General features: G+C 44.4%; 1 protein-coding gene across 1 annotated transcript in view, besides 1 other annotated feature; it reads left to right on the plus strand.

Moving 5' to 3' along the window:
• ZNF398 (zinc finger protein 398) overlaps positions 1-12,197 on the plus strand; it is a 56,635-nt gene that overhangs the window by 736 nt on the left and 43,702 nt on the right. The window contains exon 2 of the mRNA NM_020781.4: positions 1,680-1,801. The gene's annotated coding sequence lies outside the window, so the exon portion shown is untranslated. The remainder of the gene's footprint in view (positions 1-1,679; positions 1,802-12,197) is intronic.
• Positions 111-160: an enhancer, noted in NCBI's record as "active region_26808". NCBI's record gives its function as "activates an Ori minimal core promoter by ATAC-STARR-seq in GM12878 lymphoblastoid cells {active_cell/tissue: GM12878}" and the evidence as "EXISTENCE:reporter gene assay evidence [ECO:0000049][PMID:35858748]".

Here is a 12,197-nt window from a genome sequence, read left to right on the forward strand (position 1 = left end):
GGAAACCAGGGAGAGACAGAAAGGAGAGAGAGGGCAAGGAAGGGGGTGGCGACTGTCCCCAGAAAATCAACCTCGCATTCTGTCCTAGTCATGTTTTAGGTGTCAGGCTAAAGTAACAAATGAAAAGTGTGTAGTTAGAAAGGATGTCCATGAGAAAGTAGTCCCTGCATAGGCTGAGGAGCGTGTGCACATCTGTATTTGTCCCGGAATCGTGAAATGTAGATGCACCTTACTGATTAAAGGGTTAAAAAAAAAAAACCTTACATTAAAACTAACGTTTCGGATGGGCGCGGTGCCTCACGCCTGTAATCCCAGCACTTTGGGAGGCGGAGGCGGGCGGATCACGAGGTCAGGAGAGCGAGACCATCCTGGCTAACGGCGAAACCCCGTCTCTACTAAAAATACAAAAAAAAAAAAAAAAAAAATAGCCGAGCGTTGTGGCGGGCGCCTGTAGTCCCAGCTCCTAGGGAGGCTGAGTCGGGAGAGTGGCGTGAACCCGGGAGGCGGAGCTTGCAGTGAGCCGAGATCGCGCCACTGCACTCCAGCCTGGGCGACAGAGGGAGACTCCATCTCAAAAAAACCAAAAACAAACAAACAAAAAAACTAACGTTTCTTTGGGTGTAAAGTTCTATGAATTTTCACATATGTATGTATACGTGTAGTAACCACTGTAACCAGGATACGGAAGAGCCCTGTCCCACCCTGAAACTCCTTGTGCTGCCATTCTCTTCTGTGCTTCATTTGCTTTATGGTCACTCCCTCCGACACCTGGATCCTTGGCAAGGACTGATCTGCTCTTGAAACCTAGTTTTCTCTTTTTAGAAATGGTATATAAATGGAATCATACAGTATGATATAACCTTTTGTGACTGGCTCCTCAAAAGCGTAATGCTTTTGTGATTCATCCATGTTTACGAAGAGTCAAACTGTAAAATATTTAGAAGTTTATTCTGAGCCAAATATGAGTGAGGAAGGCCAAGGTACTGTCTGAAGAGGTCCTAAGAACATGTATCCAAGGTGGTTGGGTTACAGCTTGATTTTACACGTTTTGGGAAGACTTAAGACATCAGTCAATACATGTAAAGTGTACACTGGTTCTGTCAGGAAAGGCGGGACAACTCCAAGCGGTGCTTACAGGTCACAGGCGGATTCAGCGATTTTCTGATTGGCAATTGGCTATCTGAAGACCAGGTTCATAGAAAGGAGTGTCTGGGTTAAGATAAGGGGTTGTGGAGACCAAGATTCTTAGGATGTCTCATAGTGACTGTCTTTAGATGGCAAAAATTTCCTATTTAAACCTTTAAAAGGTGCTAGATTCTCTGGCCGGGCGCAGTAGCTCACGTCTGTAATCCCAGCACTTTGGGAGGCTGAGGCAGTAGGATTGCCTGAGCACAGGAGTTGAAGACCAGCCTGGGCAACATGGCGAAACCCCATCTCTACAGAAAATACAAGATTTTGTCAGCACAGTGGCAAAGACGTTAATCTCAGCTATTTGGGAGGCAGAGGTGGGAGGATTACTTGAGCCTGGGAGGCGAAGGTTGCAGTGAGCACAGATTGTGCTGACACTACAGCCTGGGTGAGAGAGGAAGACAGAGGGAGACTCTGTCTCAAAAAAATAAAATAAAATAAAATAAAATTATATATATATATATATTGTTTGTTTGTTGGGTTTTTTCCAGACGTAGTCTTGCTCTGTTGCCTAGGCTGGAGTAGAGTGGTGTGATCTTGGCTCACTGCAACCTCCGCCTCCCAGGTTCAAGCGATTCTCCTGCCTCAGCCTCCCAAGTAGTTGGGATTACAGGTATGTGCCACCACATTGGGCTAATTTTTGTATTCTTAGTAGAGATGGGGTTTCACCATGTTGGCCAGGCTAGTCTTCAACTCTTGACCTCGTGATCCACCTACCTCGGCCTCCCAAAGTGCTGGGATTACAGGCATGAGCCACTGTGCCTGGCCCTATATTTTCATATAAATATATAATATATACTGCAAAGAAGCATATTTGGGGATAAAATATTTTGATTTCCTTCTTTGTCATGCAATGTTATGCCAGAGTCAGGTTGGAAACTAAGCGGTTATATAGGGTTAAATAAAACCCTTCTGGTGAGATTTTTATAGTTTGTAGGGCATGATTTCCTATGTCCCTTAGTTAGAAATTTGGACAAGAAAGGAAAAAAGGTCACAATTTAGTTGGTATCCATATCATTGTGTGTGAAAACAGTTTATTTTATTTATTTTTTATTGTTATTTTTTTGAGACGGAGTCTTGCTCTGTTGCCCAGGCTAGAGTGCAGTGGCTCGATCTTGGCTCACTGCAACCTCCACCTCCCAGGTTCAAATGATTCTCCTGTTTCAGCCTCCCGAGTAGCTGGGACTACAGGTGCATCCCACCACACCCAGGTAATTTTTATATTTCTAGTAGACACAGGGTTTCACCATATTGGTCAGGCTGTTCTCCAACTCCTGACCTCAGGTGATCCACCCACCTCGGCCTCCCAAAGCGCTGGGATTACAGGCATGAGCCACTGCGCCTGGCCTACAACAGTTTTATTTTAATTGCTGATAGTATTCCATGTTATGATATACTGAAGAGTATTTATCCATTGAAGGATATTTGTATTTTTTCCGTTTTATTATTTTTTATACTTATTTGTTTATTTATTTATTTATTTTTTGAGATGGAGTTTTGCTCTTGTTGCCCAGTCTGGAGTGCAATGGAGTAATCTCAGCTCACCGCAACCTCCGCCTCCCAGGTTCAAGCGATTCTCCTGCCTCAGCCTCCCTAGTAACTGGGATTACAGGCATGTGCCACCACGCCTGGCTATTTTGTATTTTTGGTAGAGACGGGGTTTCTCCATGTTGGTCAGGCTGGTCTCGAACTCCCAACCTCAGGTGATCTGCCTGCCTCAGCCTCCCAAAGTACTGAGATTACAGGCATGAGCCACTGCACCCGGCCTATTTATTTATTTTTGAGATGGAGTCTCACTCTGTTGCCCAGGCTGGAGTGCAGTGGCATGATCTCGGCTCACTGCAACCTCCACCTCTGGGGTTCAAGCGACTCCCCCACCTCAGCCTCCTGAGTAGGTGGGATTACAGGTGCACACCACCCCACCTGGCTAATTTTTGTATTTTTAGTAGAGAAGGGGTTTCACCATGTTGGCCAGGCTGGTTTCAAACTCCTAACCTCAAGTGATCCGCCTGCCTTGGCCTCCCAAAGTGCTGGGATGACAGGAATGAGCAACTGTGCCCAGCCTTTTCCAAGTTTTGGAATTCTGAATAGAGCTGCTATAAACATTTGCATACAGGTTTTTGTGTGAAAATAAATTTTTATTTCTTTAAGGTAGATACCCAGGAGTGGGACTGCTGAGTCACGGTAAATATGTATATTTAATTTTACAAGGAACTAGCAAACCATTTTTAAGAGTGACTGTACTATTATGTGTTCCCCTTGTGAACGCATGAGAGTTCAGTTGGCCCACGTTCTTTATTTGGTATTTTTAGCATTTAAAAAAACCGTTAGACATTCTAATCAATGGTGGTGTTGCTGAAACACCAGGGGTTTGGTCTAGGTGCTGCTGTTTGTGGCTCAGAAAGCCAATCATGACAACAACAAGTGTTGCCAACGAAGAAGGCTTTAATTGGGTGTTACTGCTGAGGAGATGGGAGATGGGAGATGGGAGATCAGTCTCAAATCCATCTCCCTGACAGGCTAAAATGAGCGGCTTCTATTGCTGGGAGGAAATGTAACCATATGTGGAAAAACATGAATTGGTTAGGGGTAAGGAAGAGGGTTTGGTCAACAGGAAGCAGGTGGTGGGTTAGGCAATCATGATGGGTGAGGGGTCTGACTTTCATTGTCCAAATTCAGTGATCCTGTGAGTTTCAACTGGTTAATACTATCTGGGAGGCCTGATGGTTGCTTTCCTGAGAAAGGAACTCAGATAAGACAAATGTAACTGTCTCAAGTTTTAAGACTAAAAGGATCAGTTACTGTGTTTATTCAAAGAAACCATAAACATCAGTTCTATAGGGCAATTGGGTCTGTTTCAGTGTAGGGGTATCTCAATGTAGTTTTTATTTGGATTTCCCTAGTTGCTAATGATACAAAAAATTCTTATTACGTGCTAAATTGCCAACTTCTAGTTAAGTTTTTGTTCTTGCTCCTTGTCCATTTTTCAATTGCATTTTTCTCAGGTTGATAAATATGGACTTTTTATTAAGGAAAGATTTTACTATGGGCAATTCTTTTAACATATTAGAACAGGCTGGGTGTGGTGGCTCACACCTGTAATCCCAGCAATTTGGGAGGCAGAGGCTGATGGATCACGAGATCAGGAGATTGAGACAATCCTGGCCAATACGGTGAAACCCCATCTCTACTACAAATACAGAAATTAGCTGGGTGTGGTGGCGGACGCCTGTAGTCCCAGCTACTCGGGAGGCTGAGGCAGGAGAATTGCTTAAACCTTGGAGGCGTTGGTTGCAGTGAGCCAAGATCGGGCCACTGCACTCCAGCCTGGGCAACAAGAGTGAGACTCTGCCTCAAAAACAAAACAAAACAAACAAACAAAAAACATATGCAGAACAATGTAATAAGCCCCAGCCATAATCCAGCTTTGGAAACATTTAAAAATATATATTTTACTTAGCATTTCTATTGAATTTGAAGTAGCGGGGAGGGTTTCCTGTTTTAGCTTAGTCTATTATCCTAGTGGAAAATTCTTTGCTTTTGACACTTTTAAACAGTTTTAGACATTTTAAATATGTTCACACCTTCTTTGATAGCTACGCAGCATACCAATTTACCACAATTTATTCATCCAGTCCTCTACTAGACGTTTTGTTTATAGTCAAATTTTAGTTTATAGTCAAAAAGCATCAAGTATTGCTTTTGATGAATCTTACATTTGCAAATATATTTATAGAATACGTTCCTAGAAAAATATTGCTTGATCAAAAGGTCTACTTATTTATAATCGATACACTACTAAGTTGCTCAGAAGAGGTTATATCAATTTATTACTCCACCGACTTCCTTATATTCTCTCTCTCTTTTTTTTTTTTTTTTTTGAGACAGAGTCTTGCTCTGTCCCCCAGGCTGTAGTGCAATGCTGTGATCTTGGCTCACTGCAACCTCCACCTCCCAGGTTCAACTGATTCTCCTGCCTCAGCCTCCCGAGTAGCTGAGATTACAGGCATGTGCCACCACGCCCTGCTAATTTTGTATTTTTAGTAGATATGGGGTTTCTCCATGTTTGTCAGGCTGGTCTCGAACTCCTGACCTCATGTGATCTGCCCACTTCAGCCTCCCAAAGCGCTGGGAATACAGGCATTAGCCACCCCGCCCGGCCTAGAGAACAGCTTTCTCTCTTTCGAGAGAGAGAGGCACCCGTATGGGACCTCTAGACCTCAGTGGAGTGCACCGGATTTTATAGGCAGGCTTGAGGAGGCGGTGTCTGATTTACCAGGGGCCCAGAGATGGGTTGGACCAGGTGGGACGTCTACATAGCATGAGAGGAAGCTGGCCACCCACCCTAATCTACTTAATGCAAATGAGCTTTCCACTGGGCCAGTGCCATGTTGTGTGCTCCCTACTGCACAAGTGGTTGGAAAGAAAAACAGAAGATGGAAAGAAAAACAGAAGATGGAGCCGCCATTTTAAACACACCTAGTCTCTGGTAGCCTTTTCTGATTGACACAACTGCCAGCATTCACCTGTGCAAGCTTCCGCTTGCTTGTGTATGTCTGCAGCTCATTTTTACAGGCTCCTTGTTAGAAAGTAAAATGATTTTGGGGCTGCTTTTTATTAAAAGGAAAGCTTTACCGATGACTTCCTTACCCTCACTATCTGCCTAAATAATTTCTTTTTAACTCCTATATCAGCGGTGAGGACAACCAGAGGTCACTCTGATTGCCATCTTGGTTTTGGTAGGTTTTAGGCTGGCTTCTTTAGTGCAACCTGTTTTATCAGTAAGGCTTTTTTTTTTTTTCTTGATAGAGTTTCACCCTGTAGCCCAGGGTGGAGTGCAGTGGCACAATCTTGGATCACTGCAACTTCCGCCTCATTGGTTCAGGCGATTCTCCTGCCTTAGCCTTCCAAGTAGCTGGGATTATAGGCTTGCCACCACACCCAGATAACTTTTGTATTTTTAGTAGAGATAGGGTTTCACCATGTTGGCTAGGCTGGTCTGGAACTCCAGGGCTCAAGTGATCTGCCCACCCCAGCCTCCCAAAGTGCTGGGATTATAGGCATGAGCCACTGTGCCAGGCCATCAGCATGGTCTTTATGACCTGTATGTTGTGCTGACTTCCTATCTCTTCCTGTGATTTAGAATGCCTTAACCATCTGGGAATGCAGCCCAGCCTCATTTTACCCAGCCCCTATTCAAGATGAAGTTGCTACAGTTCAAAGGCTTTTGACAAAGTGATCTGCCTGCCCCAGCTTCCCAAAGTTCTGGGATTACAGGGGTGAGCCACTGCACCTGGCTTTTGGTTATTTTTGTGTTTTTTAAATATATATATATATATATATATATACATATATATGTGTGTATATATATATACACACATATATATGTATATATATATTTGTTTTTTGTGACCTTCAGATTTTTTTTTTTTGTTTTTTTGAGACGGAGTTTTGCCCTTGTGCAAGCTGGAGTACAATGGTATGATCTCGGCTCACCGCAACCTCTGCCTCCTGCGTTCAAGCGATTCTCCTGCCTCAGCCTCCCGAGTAGCTGGGATTACAGGCATGCGCCACTGTGCCCGGCTAATTTTGTATTTTTAGTAGAGACGGAGTTTCTCCATGTTGGTCAGGCTGATCTCGAACTCCTGACCTCAGGTGATCTGCCCGCCTTGGCTTCCCAAAGTGCTGGGATTACAGGCATGAGCCACCGTGCTTGGCCATGCTGTTTTTGTCTTTTTTTTTTTTTTTTTGAGACGGAGTTTCGCTCTTGTTGCCCAGGGTGGAGTGCAATGGTGTGATCTCGGCTCACTGCAACCTCTGCCTCCCAGGTTCAAGCAATTCTCCTGCCTCAGCCTCCCAAGTAGCTGGGATTACAGGCACCCGCCACCACGCCCAGCTAATTTTTTTGTTTTTTTGTTTTTTTTGGATTTTTAGTAGAGACGGGGTTTCACCATGTTGGCCAGGCTGGTCTTGAACTCCTGATGTCAGGTAATCCAACCCCCCTCCCCACCGGCCTCCCAAAGTGCTAGGATTACAGGTGTGAGCCACCACGCTCAGCCCGTTTTTGTCTTTTTGATATGAGATCTCATTCTGTTGCCCAGGCTGGAGTGCAGTGGTGTGATAATAGCTCACTGCAGCCTCCACCCTCTGGGCTCAAGATGCTCCCACCTCAGCCTTTCAAAGTTTGGGGACTACAGATGTGAGCCACAGCATCCCATCCATTATATTCTTAATGATCTCTCTGTACAACTTAAAGTTTATTTTTTCAACTCTGAGTACTTTTAAAGATATATTAACTAGACATTAGATAATAGGTAAAAGAGTAACACCTAATCATTTATTATTTGTTTAGAGATGGAGTCTCACTCTGTTGCCCAGGCTGTTTTTTTTCCTTCAGCACTTTTATTTTTATGTTTTTGGACAGAGTCTGGCTCTGTCGCCCAGGCGGGAATGCAGTGGCGCAATCTTGGCTCACCGCAACCTCTGCCTCCCTGGTTCAAGCAATTCTCATGCCTCAGCCTCCCAAGCAGCTGGGACTACAGGCACACACCACCACGCCCAGCTAATTTTTGTATTTTTAGTAGAGAAGGGGTTTCATCATGTTGGCCAGGCTGGTCTGGAATCCCTGGGCTCAGGTGACCTGCCCAGCTCGGCCTCCCAAAATGCTGGGATTACCACCTGACCTCATTTATTATGTTAAAGACTGTTAGAGATAATGCTGATTGCAATAACCACATTAACAAAGCCTAGTTGAAGAAGGCAGGCATTTGAAAGTGGTTTATTTTCTTATTCAGTTTTGACAGTTCTTAATTTATTCTGAATGTAAGTCCTTTGTTGGATATATGATTAGTAAATATTTTATCCTGGCCAACACGGTGAAACCCCGTCTCTACTAAAAATACCAAAAAAATAGCCGGGCGTCGTGGCAGGTGCCCGTAGTCCCAGCTACTTAGTAGGCTGAGGCAGGAGAATGGCATGAACCTGGGAGGTGGAGCTTGCAGTGTGCCGAGATCGCGCCACTGCACTCCAGCCTGGGTGACAGAGCAAGACTCTGTCTCAAAAAAAAAAAAAAAAAAAAAAGAAAGAAAGAAAAAAAGAAAGCTTTAATTTTAAGTGGGAGCTAAGCTATGAGGACGCAAAGTCATAAGAATGATATAGTGGACTATGGGGACTTGGGAAGACTGGGAGCAGGGGTGAGGGATAGAAGACTACACACTGGATGCTGCTGCGTACACTGCTTGAGTGATGGATGCACCAAATCCCAGATATCACACCTGGAGAACTTATCCATGTCGCTAAACACTACCTGTTCCCCAAAAACTATTAGAATAATAATAATAGTCCGGGTGCGGTAGCTCACACCTGTAATCCCAGCACTTTGGGAGGCTGAAGCAGACAGATCACTTGAGGTAAGCAATAGTTGAAGATCAGCCTGGCCAACATGGTGAATCCCAGTCTCCACTAAAAATTCAAAAATTAGCTGGGCATGGTGGTGCGCGCCTGTAGTCCCAGCTACTCAAGAGGCTGAGCATGAGAATCACTTGACCCCAGGAGGCGGACGTTGCAGTGAGCCAAGATCATGCCATTGCACTCCAGCCTGGGAGACGGAGACTACGTCTCCAAAAACTAATAACAATAATAATAATAATAAAGCTTTAATTTTGATTAAGTCCAATTTGTACTTTGTTGCTTTTTGTGGATTGGGGTTTTGGTATCATGTGTAAGAACTCTGCCTAATTCAAGGTCATAAATATTTGGTTTTGTTCTAGAAATTTCCTAGTTTTATGTTTTAAATTTATTTATTTATTTATTTATATGTTTATTTATATTCCCCTATTTAAAGCTTTTAATTTAAAAGTAAAATTTAATGTCAAAAATGCAAACTTGGGGAGGGCGTAAAAATCACACTCAAGGCTGCCACCTCACACTTAGAGGGTTGCAGAGCGGCCAGGCAGAGGCGCTCCTCACTTCCCAGACTGTGGGGCGGCCGAGCAGAGGCACTCCTCACTTTTTAGACAGTGCAGCTGCCAGGCAGAGGTGCGCCTCACTTCCCAGACGGGTTGGCGGCCGGGCAGAGGTGCTCCTCACTTCCCAGTTTAAATTTATATCTGTTATCTGTTTTTATTTACTTTGTGTAAAAAGTGTAAGAGTTGGGTTCAGGTTCATTTTTTTGCATATGAAAGTCCAATAGTTGAGACACAATTTGTTGAAAAACTTTTTCTATCTTCATTTAAGTGCTTTTTTTTTCTTTTTTGAGATGGAGTCTTACACTGTCACCCAGGTTGGAGTGCAGTGGCATGATCTAGGCTTACTGCAACCTCTGCCTCCTGGGTTCAAGGGATTCTCCTGTCTCAGCCTCCCATGTAGCTGGGATTACAGGCGCCCGCCACCACACCCAGCTAATTTTTTAATATTTTTAGTAGAGACAGGATTTCACTGTGTTGGCCAGGCTGGTCTCGATCTCCTGACCTCGTGATCCACCTGCCTTGGCCTCCCAAAATGCTGCGATTACAGGCGTGAGCCACCGCGCTGGGCCTTTTTTTTTTTTTTTTGAGACCGAGTTTTGCTCTTGTGGCCCAGGATGGAGTGCAATGGCATGGTCTGGGCTCACCACAACCTTCACTTTCTGGGTTCAAGTGATTCTCTTGCCTCAGCCTCCCAAGTAGCTGGGATTACAGGCACCCACCAGCATGCCTGGCTAATTTTTGTATTTTTAGCAGAGACGGGGTTTCACCATGTTAGCCAAGCTGGTCTTGAACTCCTGACCTCAGGTGATCCTCCCACCTCAGCCTCCCAAAGTGCTGGGATTACAGGTGTGAGCCACCATGCCCGGCCCATTGAATTGCTCTTACACCTCTGTAAAAAGTCAGTCGTCCAAATTTGTGTGGGTTTATTTTTAGATTCTTGTTTTATTGATCCATGTGTCTATCCCTTCCCCAATATGACATGCTCATGATTACTGTAGCTTTGGAGGAGTGTTGAGAGTAGACATCCTTGCCTTTCTCAATCTGAGGGGAAGCCATTTAGTCTCACTGTTGAGTATGACGTTAACTGCATACTTTTCTTTTAACACAGAGTCTTGCTCTTTCCTGCAGGCTGGAGTGCAGTGGCGTGATCTCGGCTCACTGCAACCTCTGCCTCCCTGGTTCAAGCAATTCTCCCGCCTCAGCCTCCTGAGTAGCTGGGATAACATGCGTGCACCACCATGTCCGGCTAATTTTTGTATTTTTAGTAGAGACGGGTTTTCACCATATTGGTCAGGCTGGTCTTGAACTCCTGACCTCGTGATCCACCTGCCTTGGCCTCCCAAACTGTTGGGATTACAGGCGTGAGCCACTGTGCCTGGCATGTAGATACTTTTTATCATGTTGTGCTAATTCCCTTTCATCCCTAGTTTTGTGAGAGTTTTTATTGTGAGTAAATGTGAATATTTGTTTTGTCAAATCATTTTTCTGCATTTATGGGCAAGCACAATCACTTACATGTATTTAGTTGTGAAAAACTGGAACCTAAACGTATAAATAAGTCGGAAGCATCCATAAGATGAAATATGTAGACATTAAATTTATGTTTTCGAAAAATATTTGGCTGGGCGCAGTGGCTCACGCCTGCAATCCCAGCACTTTGGAAGGCCGAGGCGGGCGGATCACCTGAGGTCGGGAGTTCAAGACCACCCTGACCAATATAGAGAAACCCCATCTCTACTAAAAATACAAAAAATTAGTTGCGCATGGTGGCGCACGCCTGTGATCCCAGCTACTCGGGAGGCTGAGGCAGGAGAATAGCTTGAACCCGGGAGGCAGAGGTTGTGATGAGCTGAGATCAGGCCATTGCACTCCAGCCTAGGCAATAAGAGCGAAACTCTGTCTCAAAAAAAAAAAGAAAAAAAAAAAGAAAAAAATTTAATGCTATGCAAGATATTCAAGTATATTAAATAACAAAGGCAGGTTTCAAAACAGTATTTATGGCTGGGTGCAGTGGCTCACGCCTGTAATTCCAGCACTTTGGGAGGCCGAGGTGGGTGGATCACCTGAGATCAGGAGTTCGAGACCAGCCTGGACAACATGGCGAAATACCATCTCTACTAAAAATACAAAAATTATCTGGGCGTGGTGGTGCACGCCTGTATCCAGCTACTCTCAGGAAGCTAAGGCAGGAGAATCGCTACAATCCAGGAGGCAGAGGTTGCAATGAGCCGAGATCGTGCCACTGCACTCCAGCCTGGGTGACACAGTGAAACTCCATCTCAAAAACAAAACAAAACAAATCAAAAAACAGTATTTACAGTTTCAACTGTATTAAGAAAATAAATAAATATTGTGTGTGTGTATACATATATATATTTATATAAAAGAAGCTCACAAAGATAAGAACCAAAATGCTTCGAGTGATTGTCTCTGGATTGTATGATTATATGTGGCCTTTGTCTTTATACAACCCTGTATATTTCAAATATTCTGCAAAGCACAGAAAAGTAATAATAAATGTGCTCACTGCAGCCTCAACCTCTGGGGTTCAATTGATCCTCTCATCTCAGCCTCCTGAGTAGCTGGGACTACAGGTGCATGCCACTATGCCCAGCTAATTTTTTTTTTTTTTGAGACGGAGTCTTGTTCTGTCACCAGGCTGGAGTACAGTGACGCATCTTGACTCACTGCAACCTCTGCCTCCCAGGTTCCAGCAATTCTCCTGCCTCAGCCTCCAGAGTAGCTGGGACTACAGGAGCACGCCACCACGCCCAGCTAATTTTGGATTTTTAGTAGAGACGGGGCTTCACCATGTTGACCAGATGGTCTTGATTTCTTGACCTCCTCGTGATCCGCCCACCTCGGCCTCCTAAAGTGCTGGGATTATAGGCACAAGCCACTGCGCCCAGCCAATTTTTTTTTTTTAAGTTTTAATTTTTTTTGTAAAGATGGGGTCTCACAATGTTGCTAAGCTGGTCTTAGACTCCTAGGCTCAAGTGATTCTCTCATCTGGGCCTCCTAAAGTGCTGGGATTATAGGCAT

Source organism: Homo sapiens, chromosome 7 (genome assembly GCF_000001405.40).
Source record: "Homo sapiens chromosome 7, GRCh38.p14 Primary Assembly".
Lineage (NCBI taxonomy): Eukaryota > Metazoa > Chordata > Mammalia > Primates > Hominidae > Homo > Homo sapiens.